Raw genomic sequence first — 22,321 nt, 5'->3', positions numbered from 1 at the left:
TTCCAGGGTGTTCCCCATAACAAAGAAATTATCTTCAAGAAAAATAATTTGCCAGAGCTCATTCCTGATGTGGGAAGGATGTTGCTTCCATGCCAACCCCCTAAGATCAGGAATAAGGCAAAGATGCCCCTTCTCACCACATCTACTCCACATTGTACTTGAAGGACTAAGGTAATAAGATAAGGAAAGGTTTTTAAAGGATATAGATTTGAAAGAAAGAAATAAAACTTTAAAACTGTATTTTCTCCCAAAGATGACATGGTTGTCTATGAAGAAAATTCCAAAGAATCAACAACAACAAAACACTCTTGGAATTAACAAGTGATTATAATGAGGTTGCAAGATACAAAGCTCATAGATTAATTCAATTACAGTTCGGTATACCAGTGATGAAAACTTGGATTTTGAAATTAAAAACCTATTATTGACGTTAGCACCAAAAATGAAATATTTAGGGAAAAATCTAACATACTAAGTACAGGATTAATATAAGAAAAACTATAAAGCTCTGATGAAAGAAAGTAAAGAACTAATTAAATGATGATTTTATCCGTGTTCATGGATAGAAAGAAAATATGGTTAAAATGTTAGTTCTCCTGAATTTGATCTACAGATTATTTTCAATTTCAGTCAAAATATTATTAAGGTTTTTTTTGTGGATATTGACGAATTTTTTCTAAATTTATATGAGAAAAGAAAAAACTCAGAATAGGCAACACAATATTGAAAAAGAACAAAGTCAGAGACCTAACACTCCCTGAGTTCAAAACTTATATAGCTACAGTAATCAAGTAGCATTAGCAGAAAATAATAACAGTAATAGAGAAATAGATAATGGAACAGAAAGAAAAGTCCAGAAATAGGCCCACATAAATGTAGTGCACTGATCTTCGACAAAAACAAAGATGCAATCCTATTGAGAAGGATAGTGTTTCCAACACATGATGCTGGAACAACGGACATAAATATGCAAAAGATGAATCCAGACACAGGCCTTACACTTTTAACAAAAATCTGCTTAAAATTATTATAAACCTAAATATTAAACATACACTTAAATTTTTTTGTCGAAAATGGTAACATAGAAGAAAATCTAGGTGGATTTTGCTTCATAGTTAAAACACCAAAAGCACAATTCATGAAAGAAAAAACTGATTTGTTGGATGTCACTGAGATTAGAAACTTCTGTGCAACAAGACACTGTTTAGAAAATAAAAAGACAAGTCACAGACTGGGACACAAAATATTTAAAAATACTTATTGAATATATATATAGATAGATAGATGACATTTAAATATTTTTTTTAAATTTTATATTTCCATAGGTTTTTGGGGAACAGGTGGTATTTGGTTACATGAGTAAGTTATTTGGTGATGATTTGTGAGATTTTGATGCACCCATCACCTGAACAGTATACACTGCACCCAATTCGTCATCTTTTATCCCTCACCCTCTTCCCACCCTTTTCCCTGAGTCCCCAAAGTCCACTGTGTCATTCTTATGCCTTTGTATCTTTATAGCTTAGGTGCCACTTATGTGTGAGAACATAAGATTTTTGGTTTTCCATTCCTGAGCTACTTCACTTAGAATAATAGTCTCTAGTTCTAGTTCCATGCAGGTTGCTGTGAATGCCATTAATTCATTCCTTTTTGCCAAAAAATACGGGCAAAAACTAGTTAAAACGTGGGTAAGCAATCTGAACAGACACTTCATTAAAAAAGACATACCAATGACCAGTAAGCATATGATGGAGTCAGGACTGGAGTGACACATCTGCAAGCAAAGGGATGCCCGAAGCTACCTGAAACTGGGAGAGAAGCATGGCTTGGGTTCTTTCTAATGCTTTCAGAGGGAGCATGGTTCTGTTGACATCTTGATGTCAGATACCTGGACCCCAGAACGTCGGAAGATAAATCCCTGCTGTTCTAAACCATGCAGTCTGTGGTACTGCCTTATAGTAGTTTTAGGGAACTAATACAAAAACCAATTCCTGGAAAAGATGCAGAGCAACAGGAAGCTGTTGTTTATTCCTAGTGGAAATGCAAAACAGTATAGCCATTTCAAAGAAAATTTGACAGTTTCTTACAAAACAAGATATATTATTAACATATAAAAACAAGCAAATTCCTAGGTATTAACATATAAAAACAAGCACATTTCAACTGATTTGAAATTTTATGTCTATGGAAAAGTGAGTGTTTTTAGATGATTATGAATAATTGCTAAAAACCAGAAGGAACCATACACTAGGTGAATGGATAAATAAGTTGCTGTACATCCATGCCATGCAACAGAATATTATCCACGGAGAGAAACACATGAGATATCAGACATATGGTACATCTTGAAACACGTGGGCAAAACTAAAATGTATATTGCTAAGTGAAAGAAATCCAATATAAAATAGGCTACAAAATCTATTATTCCATTTATGTGACATTCTGGAAAAGACAAAATTATGATGACAGTTAAAAATATCGGCCGGGCGCAGTGGCTCACGCCTGTAATCCCAGCACTTTGGGAGGCCGAGGCGGGTGGATCATGAGGTCAGGAGATCAAGACCATCCTGGCTAACACGGTGAAACCCATCTCTATTAAAAAAATACAAAAAAAATTAGCCAGGCGCAGTGGCAGGCGCCTGTAGTCCCAGCTACTCGGGAGGCTGAGGCAGGAGAATGGCATGAACCCGGGATGCGGAGCTTGCAGTGAGCCGAGATTGCACCACTGCACTCCAGCCTGGGCGACAGAGCGAGACTCCATCTCAAAAAAAAAAAAAAAAAAAAAAAAAATCAGTGGTTGCAAGAGTTTGAAAAAGAAGGAGAGAGTGGAAGCACAGGGAATAGTTGATGGCCATAAAGCTATTCTGCATGATATTGTAATGGTGGATATGTAACATTCATCAAAATCTATAGGACTCAACAGCACAAAGAGTTAATGTTCACATATAAAAATGTTAAAAATCATGTAAAGATTTGGAGAAACCCAAGAAGAAATGGAGAAAGCGGAGAAAGAACATGTAACTGTATTGAAAATACATGAAACCACCTCACTGAGTGGGGTGGAAGTTGAAAGTTAGTGGAATCTGTAAGTCTATAGGCATAAAAACCTGTACGTAAGCACTATACCTTGGTTGATAAATGTATCTTCCATATGAAGTGCTGGTTTAAAATTATGATCACAGTATATAGATGTATAGGAATTGAAAAAATAAGCAAAGGGAAGATGCTGAGATGCAGGATTCTCAGTGTTGGCATGGACGGTTACAGATAATGAAGGGAAAGAGAACAGAGTGATTTGCGTAGTAATGGATTAGAGTTGGAGATATCAGCATGTATTCATGCTTATCTTAATATAAATACAAATAAATCTAAGATATTTATAGATATGTATATGTGCACAGGTTAGTATACACATGTAGATTTATATGCTCTGTCAGTCGAGAGGCCAAGAAGCAATGATATTGACAACAATGAACACACCTAGTGCTCAAAGGTTGCTTTCTAATGTCATTCTCCAGTAAAATGAAAAATGATTCCTTGGAGAAATGCCTGATTATATGACCAGGTCAGGAGAGATATAGAATGAACCTGGGGCCTCTTGCAGGGCATGAAAGAAAGTGTTCAAAAATTAAGAAAAAGATGTAAAGTGAGGTTATATGGAAGCAACACAGGAACTAACTAAAAGAAATCTCAATGGCTAGAGTTGGAACAATTTGAGCAACAAAATAAAGTAGTCTTTCATTGTAACCCACAACATAAATATCCATGTGTCCATACTAATATAAATACATGATTGAATAAGTAAATTGTGAGAATAAATAATTTCCCATTCAGAAGGATTCCAAATAGCTTATGGGAGAATTCTGCCCTCAAAGGCTGGGAGTATAACCATCCCCAGCCTTGTCAAGGCTGGGCTGTATATGGCAACTTCATTCCCAAGAGTAGAGTATGGAAATAAAGGAAAAGAGTAATTTTACAGTGGAGAAGCTTGCAAGACACTGGCTCATCAGAAGATCGAGATTACCCTCAACAGGGATAACTCATGGTGATGTGCACCCTTGACATGACATCAGTGATGCAATGTTAAGAATGGACTTTACCTCTGAGGGCTTCCTCCCCAAAACACATAACCCTCATCTAATTATTTAAAAAATCAGACAAAACCCAATTGAGGGAAATTCTACAAATTCATAGCCAGTGCTCTCCTCAAAACTGTAAAGGTTATCATGAAAAAGGAAAGTCTGAGAAAGTGTCATAGCCAAGAGAAGTACATGGGAACTCTCCCTAAGATTTTTTGAAAGTTTTCTGTAAATGTAATTTTTTTCTAAAACAAACTATATATACATATATGTTTACATACATATATAACGGCTAGAGTTGCATCAATTTGAGCAACAAAATAAAGTAGTCTTTCATTATAACCCACAACTTTGGTTTATCACATCATATTATCTATATATAATGTTATATTACGTATATAACATACAATGTTTTATGTATATATATAAACATATATATATATTTTTAAACACATGTAACTCAACTATTTTCCACAAAATAGTAGTGTTGTGATTTTCAGTAATGGTGCTTAATTAAAATTCAGGTGTTTCTCAGTCTGTTCCAGCAATTCCCAGCCACATCCCTCTCTTTGCTTAGATACTGGGTTACTTCTTCCGAGCTTCTCACTGTATCTCAGAATTGTTTTCTTCTATCTCTGAACAAAAAATCAACACTTTGTCTTCATCACCTGACACAAGTGAAAAACTTGTTCTTCAACTCCAGCAATGCAAAAGTTTCTGATAGTTGGTGCATAACTAATGGACTCATCCTTCTGAGGGAAGGAGATGTGTCAGGAGGAATATGATGTGATAAACCAATGTTGACATCTGAGGACAGAGTGACAAGCCAATTAGTAGAACAACAAAACCATGTGCTTCATGATTAGCCACCAAGACAATGTCAATTCTCTTCTTGCTGTGTTCACCTGTCAAAGCAAAGAAAGTTTCTTTGAATCCTTTTGCATGTTCTGAATTTCTAACTCTGAACCCTTGATCCAAGGTAAAGGGAAACTTAAACTTTCCTGCTTGCTTGCACCAAGAGTGAGCTATCTATTTTTCATTACTCTGCTATGTTTTAGAAGAGATCACACCCTTCTCGGTGTCACTGAGGCTGACATAATTCTGACCAGCCAGGACACTATTACTCTGTCTTGGATTCTGAAGGCCTCATGTGTTGTCTCTTGGGGGTGGCACAAAGATGGGACCCCTAATTGGACAGCAGAACCTCTATGTGCTCCAGAGGCCTGGACATGCTATCCCCAGAGTCACCTCCACCCCACTCTGATTTTCCCGCTCCAAACAAATGCTAAAAGTAACAATCAAATGGTCCCCCAAATGGTCAATTTTTTGTTTCCTCTCAAATTCTTTCAGATTATTTGACATATTTTGGGTTTATTTTTTAAAATGTATTTTTAAAATGTCAGCTTCTAAAAAGTACACACAAATCTCACTCCCTTCCTTGCCATTGCCTTTAGAGTACATTTTAAGTGGAAATTTGGTTACATTGACACAAGCCAAGCATTTTCATCATCTTCTAACAAAGACTTAAGAGAATATTTATTTATTTATTTATTTATTTATTTTGCGATGAAGTTTCACCCTTTCGCCCAGGCTGGAGTGAAGTGGCACGATCTCAGCTCACTGCAACATCTGCCCCCCTGATTCAAGCGATTCTCCTTCCTCAGCTGGGATTATAGGTGCCCACCACCACGCCCGGCTAACTGTTGTATTTTTAGTAGAGGCGGGGTTTCCCCAGGCTGGTCTCAAACTCCAGACCTGACATGATCTGCCCGCCTTGGCCTCACAAAGTGCTGGGGTTACAGGGGTGAGCCACTGTGCTCTGCCAACAGAACATTTGAAAGAGACATGTGAATGGTGCTCTCTTTAGAAGTTTCATGTCTGCTCCTAAAACCAGGTCAGGTAATAGTGACATTTTTTTTATTTGTTTGGTTTTTAAACGTTTTTTGTTGTTGTTGTTGCTTTTTATTTATACATAATAATTGTACATATGTATATACATGGATACATGCATAAAATGTGTAATTTACTATAAATTTCAAAATAGCTATAAAAGAAGATTTGAAATGCTTTCAATAGATTCAAATTTCTGTGCATTTCTGCTCTGGAAAGACAATCCAGCAACATCTCTTCTCCTTTATGACACATGTTGTTTCTTCACAGGATATCCTGGAGTCTGAGTTTTAATTCAATAGACTGAAACCAATGCCTAGTTAGAAAGCATTTTTAATATCTACAGCACTTTTTTTTTTAAAGGTAGAGTTTTGTAATAGAAACGCTGATAATCAGGTCTAAGTATCCCTGGAGACTGTAGCCCTCCCTTAAGATTAATAAGAAGAGATACTTCTAATAACAATAGCAGCAGGAGATGTGCTGGGAAGTGATCTGGAGATCTTAAAATGTTTTCACAAATACATGACTCAGACTCTAGGTCACCAGTCTCCATCTTAGTTTTAATTATTTTTTTAAAAATCCATCAATTCAGAAAGCCCTCAGTGCTTTGGATGTGCTTTTTCCATATTCCATTCTGCACTCCTAGAGAGCCTCTTGGTGCCCAGTGTTCAACCATAATCACCCTTGCGTTATAGATATGATTTCAGCCTGGAGTGAGCTTATGTGCAATATGATGAATCACTCTCCAGTGGGATCTAACACTGAGAAGATTTACAACAGCTTGTACTTAGAGAATTAATAAAGGCAGTGATAGTGATTCGCGTTTTTTTTTTAAATAAAAAACTCTTTCCGTTCTTTAAATGTTAGCTTTCTTAGTCCACAGAATTATATTTGCTTACAGATCTTGGGCTATAAATGTCTAGCACAATGCCTACTCTTAAATTGGAATTGAGCAGAATTTAAAAGCTGGCTTGTGCAAGCATGAGAAACGTTGGGCTAAAATGTTAGGTTTGCATTGGAGATTAGGAAGGGAGAAGTGACATTTTCTGTTAATGTGAAATAGAGGAAGGTTTATCAAAATTGTGTCCCAAAGGCTGAAGGGGGCAGATACGACATACATTGGTCTTTGGCTTATCTTTGCAAGGAAAGCAGATATTAAAGAGAGGCGTGTCCTCAGGGATCTCCTCTTTTATTGGCGTTAGGAAATACAGGAGAACGAATGAAGAGCATGGAAAATTTCCAGCAGGGCCTAGAAGCCAGAAAAAAAAACGCACATGCTGATTATCAATGAGCCTCTCCCATTCCACCCTGCCCTCCTCCCCTTGGCCCAACACCCTGCATAGCCTCAGCTCATGTGGCTTTCTCTTGTTTGTGTGTCAACTAAAAATATCTTGCACACTTTACATAAATCATATTTTTAAATACACCAGAGTGGTTCAAATAACCTTTATTGGAGATAGTTAAGAGAACTCACTAGCAGTCTAAGTTCTGCTGTTAACAGGATCTTAGACATATTCTTTTCATCTGTAAAACAAAGTTGTTGGGTAGGATGATGACCAACACTGCTTCTAACATGGACACTCTATGATTCTAATTTATCAATAAATAATGTGATGCAATATAAAGATAGCTTTCATTTTGCTATATTTTCAGACATAATAGGAAAAATCATCAATAACCTAATTTTAAATTTTAGGCTACCACATCTCTATTTTGGAAGCTATTTCAAGTTTTCCACACTCTCCCCCAAAATTTTCTTCTTTAGATACTGGGGTTGAAGAAAGTCATGCCGGTTGGAATCTTACAGAGTTGTTCAAAGATAGTTTTACTCAATGTAGCAAATAAAAATACTGGACATCCAGTTCATTCTGAATTTTAGATAAACAACATATAATTTTAATATAAGTATATACCATGAAATATTTGTGATATACTAAAAAAAGTATCCCTTACTTACATGAAATCAAACTTTAACTAAGCATCCTATATTTGATCTGGCAATTCTATTTGAGGATCAACTAAAAGAGTTTACAAAAATGCTGCGCTTAGTAAATGCTAGTTTCCTTTTACTTATTTAGTATCCCTGCAGAACAACCCAGAAGTGGAGTATTTCCTAATCTGTAAGACTTTAAAGTATAAAACACACCCTTATTTCTTTAAGAAAATATTTATGGAAGGGAATCTAACTACTTTCTATCATATATGCATAGGAAATGAATTTTAAAATGGTTTTGTAGGGAAAATACATAATCCTGCTTATGTAAGTACAATATGCTATATATTATATATAAGAAAACAATTCTGGATTGGAAGTAATAGCCAACTAGTGCTGAGAAATTATAAAATAACATAGTTAAAAGATATATATCATCATCAGTGAATGCAAAAGCACAGCAGAAAAAATACCTCAGGTATGTTAGTAAGTTGGGTCTATCTCTTCTGTGCATTATTATAAAAACAAATGCCAGTACAGTCATTCATAGATATTGGTAACTAACAATCACGGTGTAATAAAAAATGAGATTAGCATGAATTTCCATCCTGTACTTGCAGGCTGGGTAAATCAAAAAACAATGACAACAACAAAAAACATGAATTTTGAATGAATTCCCACTCAAGGAATGTGGACAAATTATATGTAGATTATATGTAGACAAAACAATATTTCAGTAAAAACACTGAAGGAACAAAAAACTTTAATGAAATTCCAATGCTATGCTCATGCATGCAGAAAAAAAATAATTTTCCTGACAATTACTATAGAACAAACAACAGGGGAGAAAATGAATGAAATCTTGGAAAAACTAGCTTAATCAAGAACTCACTAGAGCTTCTGTTACTGTTTGGGGCCATCAAGCATTGTGGGAGTAATAATTATAAATCAAACCTATACAAGAAACAAACCCTACCTGCAGTTTTCCAGGTATCCCAGGTCTTGATATGTTTGTTAAGCAAACCTCCCTGAGATGTGAGGTTTCTGTGTTTACTCTGATGTTTTTGGCTTGCTCTTCTGGCCATTATGGAGTAGCAACCTTGGTACTCTCTTGAAATCCACTATCTATAGCTCCTATTAGAGGTGGGAACAACTAATGGCTTTAAATGTGCAATATGGGTTGGCTGAACCTACAATAATGTTAAAATAAGTTGCTTTCAGGAAAAAAGCTAGCGTATATTATATATATTTATAATGTGGTGATGACCATATTTGATTAGAGAAGTTAATGAGGAACAAAATATAAAACTATAATAATTACTAAGTGTTGGCAACTAATTTTTAAAAATTCAGCCCTGATTAAAATAAAGGGGCCCAGATACATTTTCAAAGACCAAGCAAAAAGGATGACTTTAGAGCTGAGAGGCAATAAATTTATAATTGGCACAGAGATCAAGGAACATCGGCCGTGTCCCATGTCAGCATCATGGATCAGAAAACAGTAGTAGAAGTTAGAAGTGAAAGAACCCAAGAGTCTATTAGGATACAGAGTTGGAAATGACTGGAAAATAACCTCCTGGGCAATGGAAGACCCATAGACATTACTACCAGCTTTCTCTCTACCCCAGGTCCTGTAGAGACTTGGCACCCAAGGAGCATTGGTGAAATAAATGAACAAACAAAAATGAAATTTAATTCCCTAGTGTCCAGGAAAATACAGAATGAAGACTTTGAACTTCCCTATGGAGATAAAAGTAGATGATCAGGCAATTATCTATTTTTAGTAAAATATCAAAAAGTTAAATTGACTTCAGCTGGTGTGTGTGTAGAAAAAAGGGATGTGTTTAACAAAAACAAAAATCTACTATCTTTAAATGGTATATTTTCAGGTGATTTTTAGAGACATTTTTCACAATGCATATATATAATTTTATGGTAAAAATTATGTTCATTTGAATTAATTTTAGGGAAGCACAAACTAAGTGACAATCGAGCAATGAGCAGATGGGATATTGATTCCCAGGTCACCAACTGTTGCCCTAAAATGACTCTCACTCAAATCTCAAGCCTGGGATCGATGCCCTAATCACCAAGAACATGTAAGGGTAAGGAGAAAAATAAAATGAACACACTGCATCACTACTTTGTAAATGCTGTGATGCAGGGGCTATTTCCCTGATAAGAAAAAGCTGCAGCATCTGCCATCAGGCATCCATCCCGCCTCATTCCTTCCCTTCTCTCAGTCCACGCATCACAATTATGACCCCAGCCAGCCTCCCACCTTAGTGGTCCCGCCAGCTGCTACCTGGAGCCAGAACTCAGAGGCTAGATTTATTTTCCAGGATGAGGCCCCAAGGGCCTTAGAAAACACTCACCAAAATGATGGTTGTCTTCTCCATAATTCTGTCTGGAAAGCAGCGTCTGACCTGTAGCTTATGTGATATCCCAGGGCTGGTGTGTCATGACAGAGGCTATCAGGGTGGACAAACAATGTGGCATGTGGGAAAGGGCGATGATCCAAACTGAAGGGCTCCAGAAGAGGCATGAGAGTGCCCAGGGCCGGGCATCCAGCCTGACTTGTGCTTTCCCATCACCAATTCCCCACCTCTCTTCGGGAAATGCTCCCAACCACAAATGCAAGTAAATGAATGAGCCTTTTGCTTTGATATCAATGGCTGGATTTGCCAATGTCCAACCCTGCAGGAGGGTGTGGGTGGGGCTCAGGCCTCTGTTGCAGTCACCAGAGACGGTGTGCTGCTTCCTTCCTACGTGCTAGAGTTGCAGGCTTGAGATTAAGGAGGGCCGAGTTAGGAGGATGGGACCCCTGAGAGAAGAGAGACATTTTTTGCTAAGGTAGTCCTTTAGTTAAGATGTCAGCACCTAAACAAAACAAGAAGGGTTGGGTGCAGTGGTTCATGCCTGTGATCCCAGCACTTTGGGAGGCCAAGGCAGGTAGATCACTCAAGCCCAGGAGTTTGAGACCAGCCTGGACAACATGGTAAAACACCGTCTCTACAAAAATTAGCGAGACATGGTGGTGCATGCCTGCAGTCCCAGCTACTCAAGAGGCTGAGGTGGGCGGATCACCTGAGCCTGAGGAGGTCAAGGCTGCAGTGAGCTGTGATTCTGCCACTGCACTCCAGCTTGGGTGATAGAGTGAGACCCTGCTTAAAAAACAAACAAACAAACACAAACAACAGTAAAGAATAGAAAAAGAAAAAATAAAGAAAACAGGAAAGGTATCCAAGAAGAGACTTTGCAGGCATGGGTGAGTCACAGGACTTGGGTTCGAGTACCCCCTCTGTCATCTGTTGACACAAGGATCTCAGGAGAGTGGCTTTCCCTTTAGGCTGTGTGCTTCTTTCTATGGGGGAAATAATAGTTCCTACTTCACTACGTTTAGCAATATTGATAATACACACAACACACTCAGCACAGCATTGACACATTGCAAATACTTAAATAAATGTTACTGCTTAAAAACCAAAACACGAAAGCAGAAGGAAGAGCCAGAACCCCAGAGAGAAGACAAAAGTTTTAAAGATGTCAGAAGTGCAATGTTTTATGCTCATACACTTGCAGGTCCGTAGATCCAAATGTGGGTAAACTGAGCCAGTGTGCGTCATCTCTACACCACCTCAACGATCTGAACAACCAGGCATCAGCATGGTGGGCAGCTTGTTTTCCTTTAATGACCTCCTTAATCATCTCTGGCTACAGATTAACTAGCCTATTAAAATGAAGACAGACATGAGTTGCACACTTCACGCTCTTTCTGCAACCGAAACTACAACCAAGGTTGTAGCTGGTTGCCTTCTCAGGGTGGTACTGAATCCTCCTCCAAGTAGCATTTGGAGGGTAATTTTTCTGAGCGTCCTAGTGGCGCAGACATCTTAAAATCCAAAAAAGGTGAACTGTGGTTAAACATTTATTGACAACTCACAGAATGATAATTTTCTCCCATCACTAGCAGGAATCCAGTAGGAGTCTTTTGAAACAATTGTTGATTTGAAAGTCCGGTGTCTTGTATCCTAAACCGAGAACATAGTAATGAGATGCAAATAAACTAGAAACAAAGGAAGAGATGTATACATGACTGTAAGCTGATCTTTTAGAAGTTTGTTGAAATCTGCAAACCTTTTTCATTTTGCTCATTTGCCATGATTTGTCACCCTCACCAAGATAAATACAATTATCTCTTCCCCCAGTTCTTCTATCACTGCCTGGTCTAAGGTGAGAAAAACAACCTTAACTCTCTTTTGTCTTTGGAGTTTATGCAGGATATTCATCAGGAAGTGACTGGGTGACTTTATCCAGGAGCAACTCATGTGACATATGCCCTTTGTCCGTGGTTCACTAATCAACACCAACTGGCCCGTACCATCTACTCAACTGGCACAAGAATAAACAGTTACTTGGAGGTATCAAATAGATACCCACATTACAGTCACACTGGATGAGTTTATCACAGAATTTTCTTTGTCCTTGGGTCTGCAGAACTGATACTGGACATCACATTCCTCCTTGTTTCAATGGAACTCATCAAAATCTCCAAAATTACGTTCAGAGATGTCTTCCTTAGACTGGTGTTCACTGATGCGCTCATGAAGGTGATGTACTGTGGGCGTCCAAGGATCACCTGCTCCAAAGTCTGATCCACCATTGGCTGGCCAGTGGCCAATCAGATAATCTCAATGGCAGGAACCAACAGTGAGCTGTGGGCACTGCACTGTGATGTCACAGAACCTGGGACCTGCGGCCATGCTGGGCTAGGACAAGAGGCAGAGGCAGAGAGACAGAGAGGAGCCACCCTAAGAAGAGAGACCAGGTGGGCTTTTCTACGTTGGTGCCTTGCATTTTAGCTCTTTTTTTGCTGTATGCTCCCAGATCAACCCCAGATGAACTGCTATAGCTTTCAAATACCTGTTGTTTCTTGGGCTTTCCTAAGTAATCATCTCTCCTTCCTGATACAAGATAACTCTCCCTGGAAGACCACTCCACAATCTTCTGGTAACTTTGTGAACTTAGACAACTTACTTAACTTCTCTGGGCCTCAGCTTCCCCATCTGTAAAACAGCAACAATAACCCTCCCCCTATCCCACAGAGTTGCCCTGAGGGCCAAAATAACAAATTCATGTGAGAGATTTGTGTGTATTGCCTGAGACATAAAGCACACTTAATAACAATGAATGATTATACTGGGTACTTCATTTTTCTGAACGCCTACTGGAGGATTGGAATTAGGATGGGGTCCACCTGCATCCAACCCACTGCTCCCTCTGGTTTGGGAGTGGCGCAATGGTGTGGTAGTTAATAGCAAAAACTCTGGGGCTGGTCTGAGGTTAATCCTGGTTCTACCACTTACTAGTTGTGTGGCCCTGGGCAAGTTACCTAACTTCTTTGTTCTATAATTTCCCCACTTGTGAGATGAAAATAATAGTAACTATCTCACAAAATACATTTTAATAAGAAGGTAATGTATCTAAAATGTTTAAAGCAATGTCTGAAACATGCTGTGAGTGCTGTACAAAGGTTGGGTATAATCATATTATGTTATCCTCCCAGTTGTCCCCAGCAACCAGACTGGTCATTCTAAATCACAGGTCTCTCCAGGCCCTGCTTCTGCTCCACACCCCTCAGTGACCCCTCAAAGTGCCCTTGAAGCTTGTGCTCCTTGGCTCAGACATCACACACTAGTGAACTGACCCCTGCCACATCTCCAGCCTCATCTTACTCCACAGAGCAGCCACAGATGCACTTCCTCCCCCACGGTATTAGTCCATTTTCACACTGCTGATAAAGACATACCCAAGACTGGGTAATTTATAAAGAAAAAGAGGTTTAATGAACTCACAGTTCCACATGGCTGAGGAGGCCTCACAATCATGGTGGAAGGCGAAAGGCACATCTTACATGGTGGCAGACAGGAGAGAATGAGAGCCAAGTGAATGGACAAACCCCTTATAAAACCATCAGATCTCATGAGACGTATTCACTACCACGAGAACAGTGTGGAGGAACCTCCCCCATGATTCAATTATCTCCCACCAGGTTCCTCCCACAACAAATGGGAATTATGGGAGCTATAATTCAAGATGAGATTTGAGAGGGGACACAGCCAAACTATATCATCCACCCACCCTAGGCCTAGACAGATGCTATGGCCTCTGCCTGGCAGTTGTTCCCAGCATCCATGTCTTCTACAGTAGAGCAATGACACCTGTTCATCTTTTGAGTCTCAGCTTAGGGTCCACTTCCTCCAGGAAGCCTGTCTTGACTTGTCAGGTTCCATCAGATGCCCACTCTCTGAGTTCATCTCTGCCAGACCACTTACCATCTGTGCTGTAATCCTTGGTGTATACATCTGCTCCTCCACTCGTGTTTGTTTGTTTGTTTGTTTGTTGTGTGTGTGTGTGTATGTGTGTGTGTGTGTGTGTGTGTGTGCTTGGATGCTGTATCTGACTAAAGGTTACCTCATCAGGCAAATATTTTTGTCACCTAACAAGAGGCAAGTGGTTCTGGGGTGGGCTTGTATAAGGTGCATCGATGTGCTTTGGTCAAGAATTAGGCCGAGGCAGACATCAGGCCTGCATGACTCCGTGGGATTGGTGAGCAGGCGCACACCTCCACTTGTTATATAACCTGTTTGTGTAAGCTCATACATGGCTCTACGCCACTCTTGTCTGTAAAAGGTATAACTAACCTGCTGATGCTGTACAGGTGCTGTTTGTCTTGGCTCAGCTCAGTATGGCATGGCATGGCACGGCACAGCTCGGTGCTGGTGCCCAGAGAGATAGTATGAAACTGCTGATGCCTGTAAGTGAGAGCTACCCACCTTGAAGGTGGCAGTCGGGAGCCAGGAACTGGCTTGTGCCTGGAGAGAGAAAGAGTTAAGCTGTGAACCCTGACAGAGCTGGCCTTGCAGGCCTGGAAGAGCAGCTCCAGGCGTGGGGGTGGCAGGAGCCACAGAGCTGGAATAGACAGCTGAGATAAAGGTGGACAGTGTGAGAGAGTTGCTGATGAGAGAGCTGCTGACAAGAGAGCTGCTGAATAAACCATATTTACCTGCTTGCAGCCCCCCAGGTGTTCTCCCTCTCTCCTCCTCCTCCTTCTTATTCTTCACCCCCTCCTCCTTTTTCTTCTTCCTCTCTCTCTCTCTTTATCTCTCCATCCCTCACTATTTTCAGGAATGTTAATAATGCCCAGAAGTCTCAAGCAAACTTTCTAGCTGCAGGCCTCATTCCCATGTACTAGCACCAAGAGATGCTGAGAGATGGACATCTGGGAGAGAAGGGATCCATGGGCAGGGAGAGAGGGCTGGGATGGATGCCATGTGGCCAACCCAGAATGCCATCCCTGGGACCCCTGAATTCTATAAGGAAAGGACAGGACATGAAGCTGTGTGTATTCCCTGGAGGTGCTTATTGCCTGTGTATTAATAATAACATTAAAATAACAGCAAGCATAATACCTATTTCAGAGTCACTATATTGCAAAGTTCTAGGAGGCTTATTTACCCTGAGAGTCCTGAGACAGGTCCCCTCTGGGAAGGTGTGATTGGAGCTACTGCCATGCATTGCATGGCACCCCACTGTGCAGTGTCTGTACCAATGATCTAATTCGTTCCTCACAAAACAGCGTGATGGGAGTGGGTGTGGCTACAACTCCCCTTTATAAATGAGGAAGTGAAGAACGGCGAGGGTTTTTTCCATAGGGATGTGAGGTTCTGATTTATTCTGGGCTTTATCATCATTAGTACCTGCAGCCAAAACATGTTTATTGTAGGGATTTTCAAACTAGTTGGACCAGGGGCAAGGATAGCAGAGAAGGTTTACTCCCTAAACACAGGTGGTTCTCTTAGGGTGGCCTAAGAGCCTAAGCTCACCTGGACCAATTCAGCTTCTGCAGTTTGCCAGCTACTTGATTAATAGCTACTGTCATTCACTCTGGCCTCAATATAAACCCAGGTGTTGAGCAATTAAAGTCCTAGGGAAAGATGTATACAGTTTGTTCTCCTTGAAAATCATAAGCATCACCAGTCAACAATACAGGCTCACATAGCAAGGCAGAGAAATCTGGATGATTGGCAGCTACTTGTGTGTCTCTTCTATAATTCAGGGTCGTCACTGACCGTCCAAGGGCTTCATTTGCAGACCCTGTGCATGTGGACAGGGCCATGTGGTTAGTTCCCACCAAAAGACAGCAGACTGGTGTGTTTCACTTCAGAGATAAGGACTTTCTATGCTGAAGAGATGGGCATCTGGAAGAGAGGAAATCCACGAGCAGGGAGAGATTCCTTCTCACACTCTTCTTCTTTTGCAATGACTTTAGAAGCCATGTGTTGACTATGATGAAGCTACAAGAGGGAACGCATCAGATCCCTTGAGTCACCATGTGAGAGAGAGGGCTGAGGATGAAAGCAGCCAGAGACAAAACAAGAGCATTGGGCTGTATATCAAAAAGCAAACAAATAAACAAAAAATCCCATGCCTTTCTTGCTGGGCTACTGATAGGTGGGGGATGGTTGTTACAGGACATTAGCCTATCTGGCTAATACACATATCCTGTCTCTATGACATGAACTAATTTAAAGAGGAAAGAAGCTCAACATCCAGTTAATATCTGGTTACTGACCAGTTTCAATACAACAGTTTTATCTGCAAACAAATTTGTGTGTAGATGCAGCCAAATATGCACAATTACACCTTTCTTACACCTCATTGCAATGATATAGAAAAACAGTACATAGAATGATCCTTGAATTGTGAATCTTTCCGTGTATTGGCAGGAAACACATCATGCACTAAAAAGGGGAAAGTGATGAGAGTCTAGGGACTATTTTCATAGATGAGAGGAGACTTGAAGGTAAAAACAAGGAACAGGGAAGCACATCAGGGTGATAGTAGGAAGCCCACTAGCTCTGGGCCAGAAGTGAATGGAAAGGAATATGTGAGTGGAGCCCAGAGGGAGCTGCGACTGTCGGATCTGGACACCCAACAGGAGCTGTGGTCTCCGGTAAAACAACTGAGGCTCAGCCACCTGTGGCCAAGCAGACAGCGTGGTAGGCACCTTGATATGCTGCTGCCCAGACCCTCTTTTGATGAAAGGTGTGTTGCTGCAGCTTCAGGGAGTGCTGTCACGGTAGGTAGACTCCAGCTGCAGCCCCTTCAGGGAGTGCCTGAGCTGCTGCGAGTCATCATCTCCAGGGGCAAGCCCCTTCCCAGTGGGCCCACAAACAGTGACTTGCCCTGGGAGTATAAAGGCCTGACCATCTCAGCCCACCTCGGGGAAATCGCTAGGACCATCCTAGCTCCCAAGCTCACTCCAGAGTTGGCCATTTTTTCTGGGCCTGCTTCACAGCTCAATATTTCCCTCTGCCCACTCCTGCTTCCTTTTCTTCCTTTCCAAGGAATGGGTCCCAAAGTCACTCCCTAATAAGCACCCTGCACACTAATCTCCATTGCAGAGTCTTCTTTCTCAGTGAACCATCCAGCAATGGGGTGGGAAAGCAGGGTTGTAAACACCCTGACCTCTCCCTCTCTTCCTGCTCTTTTACCTGCAGGCACCACTCATTGGCCAAATCCAATTGAAAGCAAGAGGGTGAGGAAACTGATGTGATTTTCAGAACTTGTTTAAAATAGGGCTGGACAAGGGTGGGGAATACATGTTTGTTCTTAACCATAAAAAGAGATGATGTGTCTAGGGAGGAAGGAGAGGGGGAAGCCATTAGCTGACAGTGTAACAAAAGCAGTGCCCCTGATGAAAACAAGATCTGGATAATAATCTGTTCCAGATGAACAGCCAGATGCTGATGAGAGTTTATACAGTCCCTTGTTAATATGAATGTTTTTCTTGTGTGGTTTCCTTTAAGATTCAAAGCATCAGAGCAAAACGTGGGTGATGCATGTTATCCACAGACTCATGTTCCTGTAGTAGGATATCTCATTCCAGACAAAAACCTAGAGGTCACCTGCAACCCAGGGTTGTCCCTGGTATGCTCCAGTCTGGTCAGTGAGCATCCGTCATGCATGTGCCCAGCAGTGGGTTGGTTTGCATGTGGCACACCTGAGACCCTAGTGGCCTACAGATGTATTTGTTTATCATGTACAGTATTTAGAAAATGAAGCGTTTGGCAACATTTGCAAATTGGAAGATTTTTAATTAAAATATGGAATTGTGGTTTCCCTTGGAAAGGCCAGTGCTGTGGTGCCACTGGGACTCCAAGCCTACTGAGTAGCAGGTGTCCTGCAGACCCCACCTATCCCTATTGTCCCCATCACAGAAGCTGAGTGTTAGATGCTATTTATCATTGCACATGAGCAGACCTAAGGGAAGAGCAAAGTATTTCTTCTACCAAAGTCCCTGTCCAAGTGGGAAAATAAAAAGTAGCGTGGACCAGGTGTTTCAAGAAAAGTGCGAAGGAGCATATTTCTTTGAGGTAATGATAAATATTCCTTCATGCCCCATATGTAATTGTGTCTGTGTGATAAGGGTATATTATGCTCCACTTGTTTACTTTCCAGGTTGGCATGAGGTTATTTCTGCTTGGAATCCTGTTATGGGACTCTATATTATACCAGAGCCACTGGAAAGAGGAACAGTCCTATAGGAGAGGAAAAACTCATAGGAAACACTTGTTGACTGAACAATGGATGGAAATTTTATGCAGACTAACAAAAATCAGTGCAGGGAAATACAAATACAAACCTAGGCTTTCAATTGGCTGGTTCAAAATATTCAGAGATCGGAGCAGATAATATGAGCTCGAAGAGAAAGGGAAGCCTCCTGGAAACCGTGAAAGACTGGGTTAGGAACAGCAGATTAGGCTTGTACTTTTTAGCTTCTTCATCATAATCCATAATAAGAAATAATGCTGGACATAGTGGCTCACACCTGTAATCCCAGTACTTTGGGAGGCAGAGGCAGGAGGAATCCTTGAGGCCAAGAGTTCCAGACTACCCTGCGCAACACAGCAAAACCCCATGTATACAAAAATAAGAAATAAAAAAGTTAGCTAGGCATGGTAGTGCACACTTGCAGTCCCAGTTACCTGGGAGGCTGATGCAGGAGGATCACATCAGCCCAGGAGTTCAAGGCTGCAGTAAGCCATGATGGAGCCACTGCACTCCAGCTTGGACAACAGAGCAAGACCGTCTCTTTAAAATAAAAAAAGAAAAATAAATACATTTTACATTAGGATTTATCCACCCCCACATGCACACAAAAACACCTATACAATTTAAACCAAAATTTCATTAAGAATATACACCTTTGTTCCAAGAATATACCCTGATATATTTTATTCTATTCCATGCATTTTAAAAATGATAGTGGCCTGTAAATTGATGTCATTGATTACTAACAGTTGAACCATGGTTTACACCTAGGAAATAGTAATACCCACTGAATTCAGTACCTGCAACTGGAGCATTCTACAGCCTAGAAATATTTCAGGTCTAGCTCTTTTCTCCTCTCTTTTCTGAATTTTCCCTGTCTCAGGCTCTGTAAGACTGCCCATCAGGGAGGATCCCACCATGGCACAGATCTGGGTTTTTAAGCATTTAACTGGTGACTCATTTGATGAATCTTTGATTTTTCTGGTAAGCAAGAGACCTCTCGAAGCTGCTGACCTCTCATGATAAGAGGTTGTTTCCTGTCTCAAGGTGTCCAAGGAACGTTCGAGGCAATAAATCATTGCCAAAACTAATGTCATGAAGTTTCCTCCTGTGTCTGCTTTTACGCGTTTTACAGTTTCAAGTCTTATGTTTATATTTTGAATTCATTTTGACTTGATTTTTGTGTACGGTGTAAGATAAGGGCCCTGTTTAATTCTTTTGCATGTGGCTATCCAGTTTCTCAAAACCATTTGTTGAAGAGATCCTCTCATCATTGGGTATTCTTGGCACCCTTGCAGATGATCAGCTGATGATGTGTATGGATGTGGCACCAAAAGCAGAGAGGCAACACCAGTAAAAATGGACACTTGGGACTACATCATATTGACAGGCTTCTGAATAGCAAAGGAAATAAGCAACAAAGTGAAAAGGTGACCTACAAAATAGGAGAAAATGTTTGCAAACCATATATCTGAAAGGGATTGAATGTCTAAAAATACAAGAAACTCCCACAACTCAATAGCAAAACAAACAACTCAGTTTAAAAATAGGCCAAGGGCTGGGCGCGGTGGCTCATGCCTGTAATTTTGGCACTTTGGGAGGCTGAGGCAGGCGGATCACTTCAGGTCAGGAGTTCAAGACCAGCTTGGCCAACATGGTGAAACTCTGTCTCTACTAAAAATCCAAAAAATAAAAATAAAAAATAAAAAGCCAGGCATGGTGGCATGTGCCTGAAATCCCAGCTACTCAGTAGGCTAAGACACAAGAATCACCTAAACCCAGGAGGCAAAGGCTGAGGTGAGCCAAGATCGTGCCACTGCACTCCAGCCTGGGTGACAGAGTGAGACTCCGTCTTTAAAGAAAAAAAATATAGGCCAAGTATTTGATTATATGTTTTTCCAAAGAAGACACATAAATGGCCAATAGGTATATGAAAACATGTTCAACATTACTAATTATCAGGGGAATGCAAATTGAAACCACAATGAAATATCACCTCACACTTCCTAGGATGACTATTATAAAAATAAAATAAAAGGTAAGTGTTGGCAAGGATATGGAGAAACTGGAACTCTTGTACACTGTTGGAAGAAATGTAAAATGGTACAGCCACTATAGAAAAGTATAGAGGTTTCTCAAAAACATTAAAAATAGAACTACTGTATATTCTAGCAACTCTACTTCTGGGTATATGGAAAAAAAAAAGAATTGAAATCAGGATCACAAAGAGATATCTGCACACCCATGTTCATTTTAGCATTATTCACAATATCCAAGATTTGGAAAAAAACCCTAAATATCCATAAATGGATGAATGGATCAAGAAAATATGGCATATACATGCAATGGAATATTATTCAGCCTTATAAAAGAAGGAAATTCTGCAGTGTGCAATAACAGAAATGAATCTGGAGGACAATATGCTAAGTGAAATAACTGCTGCTTACATGAGGTATCTAAAATAAACTCACAGAAGCAGTGAGCAGAGCAGTGGTTTCCAGGGGCTGCGGAGATGGGGGAGGGGAAACAGGTATCAAGTTTCAGTTACGCAATAAAAATAGGTTCTAGAGATCTTCTGTACGACATAGCGCCACATTGTACACTTAAAATTTGTTAAAAGGATTTGAGAAAAGGAACACTAGCTGGCTCTAGTCGGACTAAAGCAAGGTCCTCTGCATTGCCCAAGGGGAGAAACAGCCTCAGACTACCCTGGTTTGACAAGGTCACGTTCAGGGTCAGTGGCAGGGACATCAGCTCCCTCAGGCCAGTAAGCAGTCACCAGTTTTTGAGAGAACCAAGCTGATGTCCCAAGCTGAGACTTCTTTCACACAAGAGACTGCACTCCCTCTCTCTTCCAGATTCAATGAATGTGCATCCAACAGGAGCACCTGGGCTGCCACCTTCAGACCAGAAGAGACTGCGGCGAATTTACTGATTCTATTACGTGACTGCCCCCAGACACTTGGCAACACATTGCCTGCAAAGGAGCTGCTAACTCATGTGCTGAAGCTACATGGAAAAAAATCAATGCCCAAAATGTTGCTGCAATTAATTAAGCCTTCACGAGAAAACAGGGCTGTACGTTATCAGTAGTTGAGCCTTCCCGGCCTGTTTCATAAGGAACTGGCTTCTGTGACCCAAGTCTGATGAGCCTGAGACAAGCTTGGCTTTACAGCATCGAGCTGCAAAAGGCAGGTCGAAGTCACTGTGTGGAAACCCTGGGCTCCTGCAGACCTATGGTTGTGCTTATTTCCGAATGCCTTAGCCCCTTGGCAGGGCTGAGAAAGCGAGAGCTCAGTAGGTCACATGACCACTTGTGAGCCAATCACTGTTGCACTGGGATGGCACACACTGATTGGCCAGCCCTGGGCAGCGCTCCCACCCTGCAGGTGTTTGAAGTCTGTGTATGAGGGATGTGGTCTGGCTATGGGAAAGCAGGGAGCTGTTTCAATACCAAGGGGGCAGGATTTCAAAGAAGAAAAATAAATCATTTCAATTACCTAGAGTGTGGAGGATTTGCAAACGTTTCTGAATTCTCAGGAGCATTTCTCAATCCTTGAAACATAGTTTCTGGACGCTGTTAGTGCACACTACAGTGGTCCGCACTTAACCACAGGGGTACGCTCCGAGACTCACAGTGGGTGCTTGACAACAGGATAGTACCAAGCTCTATATATGCCATGAATGTTTCTTATACATACATACCTATGATAAAGTTTAATTTATAAATTAGGCACAGGAACAGATTAACAAATAAGGACTCACAATAAACTAGGACAATGTAAACAACATACTGTAATAA

At 40.7% G+C, this 22,321-nt stretch overlaps 2 long non-coding RNA genes across 19 annotated transcripts in view; one reads left to right on the top strand and one right to left on the bottom strand.

Moving 5' to 3' along the window:
• Positions 1–2,001: 2,001 nt before the first annotated feature.
• Positions 2,002–22,321, bottom strand: part of LINC02359 (long intergenic non-protein coding RNA 2359) — an 82,665-nt gene continuing 62,345 nt past the window's right edge. For 2 of the 12 annotated variants that reach the window (NR_186738.1, NR_186739.1), the window contains one exon: positions 11,818–11,933. This is a non-coding gene — a long non-coding RNA (long intergenic non-protein coding RNA 2359). Of the gene's footprint in view, positions 4,985–7,087; positions 7,219–7,443; positions 7,494–8,878; positions 9,037–10,277; positions 11,267–11,476; positions 12,525–13,757; positions 13,812–15,788; positions 16,311–18,610; positions 18,689–18,953; positions 19,060–22,019; positions 22,225–22,321 lie in introns of those variants that run through there. The other 10 variants (NR_186740.1, NR_186744.1, NR_186749.1 and 7 more) reach the window with 10 other exon arrangements.
• LOC107984447 (uncharacterized) overlaps positions 12,581–22,321 on the top strand; it is a 55,612-nt gene continuing 45,871 nt past the window's right edge. For all 7 annotated transcript variants that reach the window (XR_001749374.2, XR_001749373.2, XR_001749377.2 and 4 more), the window contains exon 1: positions 12,581–12,730. This is a non-coding gene — a long non-coding RNA (uncharacterized LOC107984447). The remainder of the gene's footprint in view (positions 12,731–22,321) is intronic.

The sequence above is a fragment of the Homo sapiens genome, chromosome 12, assembly GCF_000001405.40.
Source record: "Homo sapiens chromosome 12, GRCh38.p14 Primary Assembly".
Classification (NCBI taxonomy): domain Eukaryota; kingdom Metazoa; phylum Chordata; class Mammalia; order Primates; family Hominidae; genus Homo; species Homo sapiens.
Note: the sequence above shows the minus strand (reverse complement) of the source record. Positions and strands in the feature narration are given on the sequence as shown.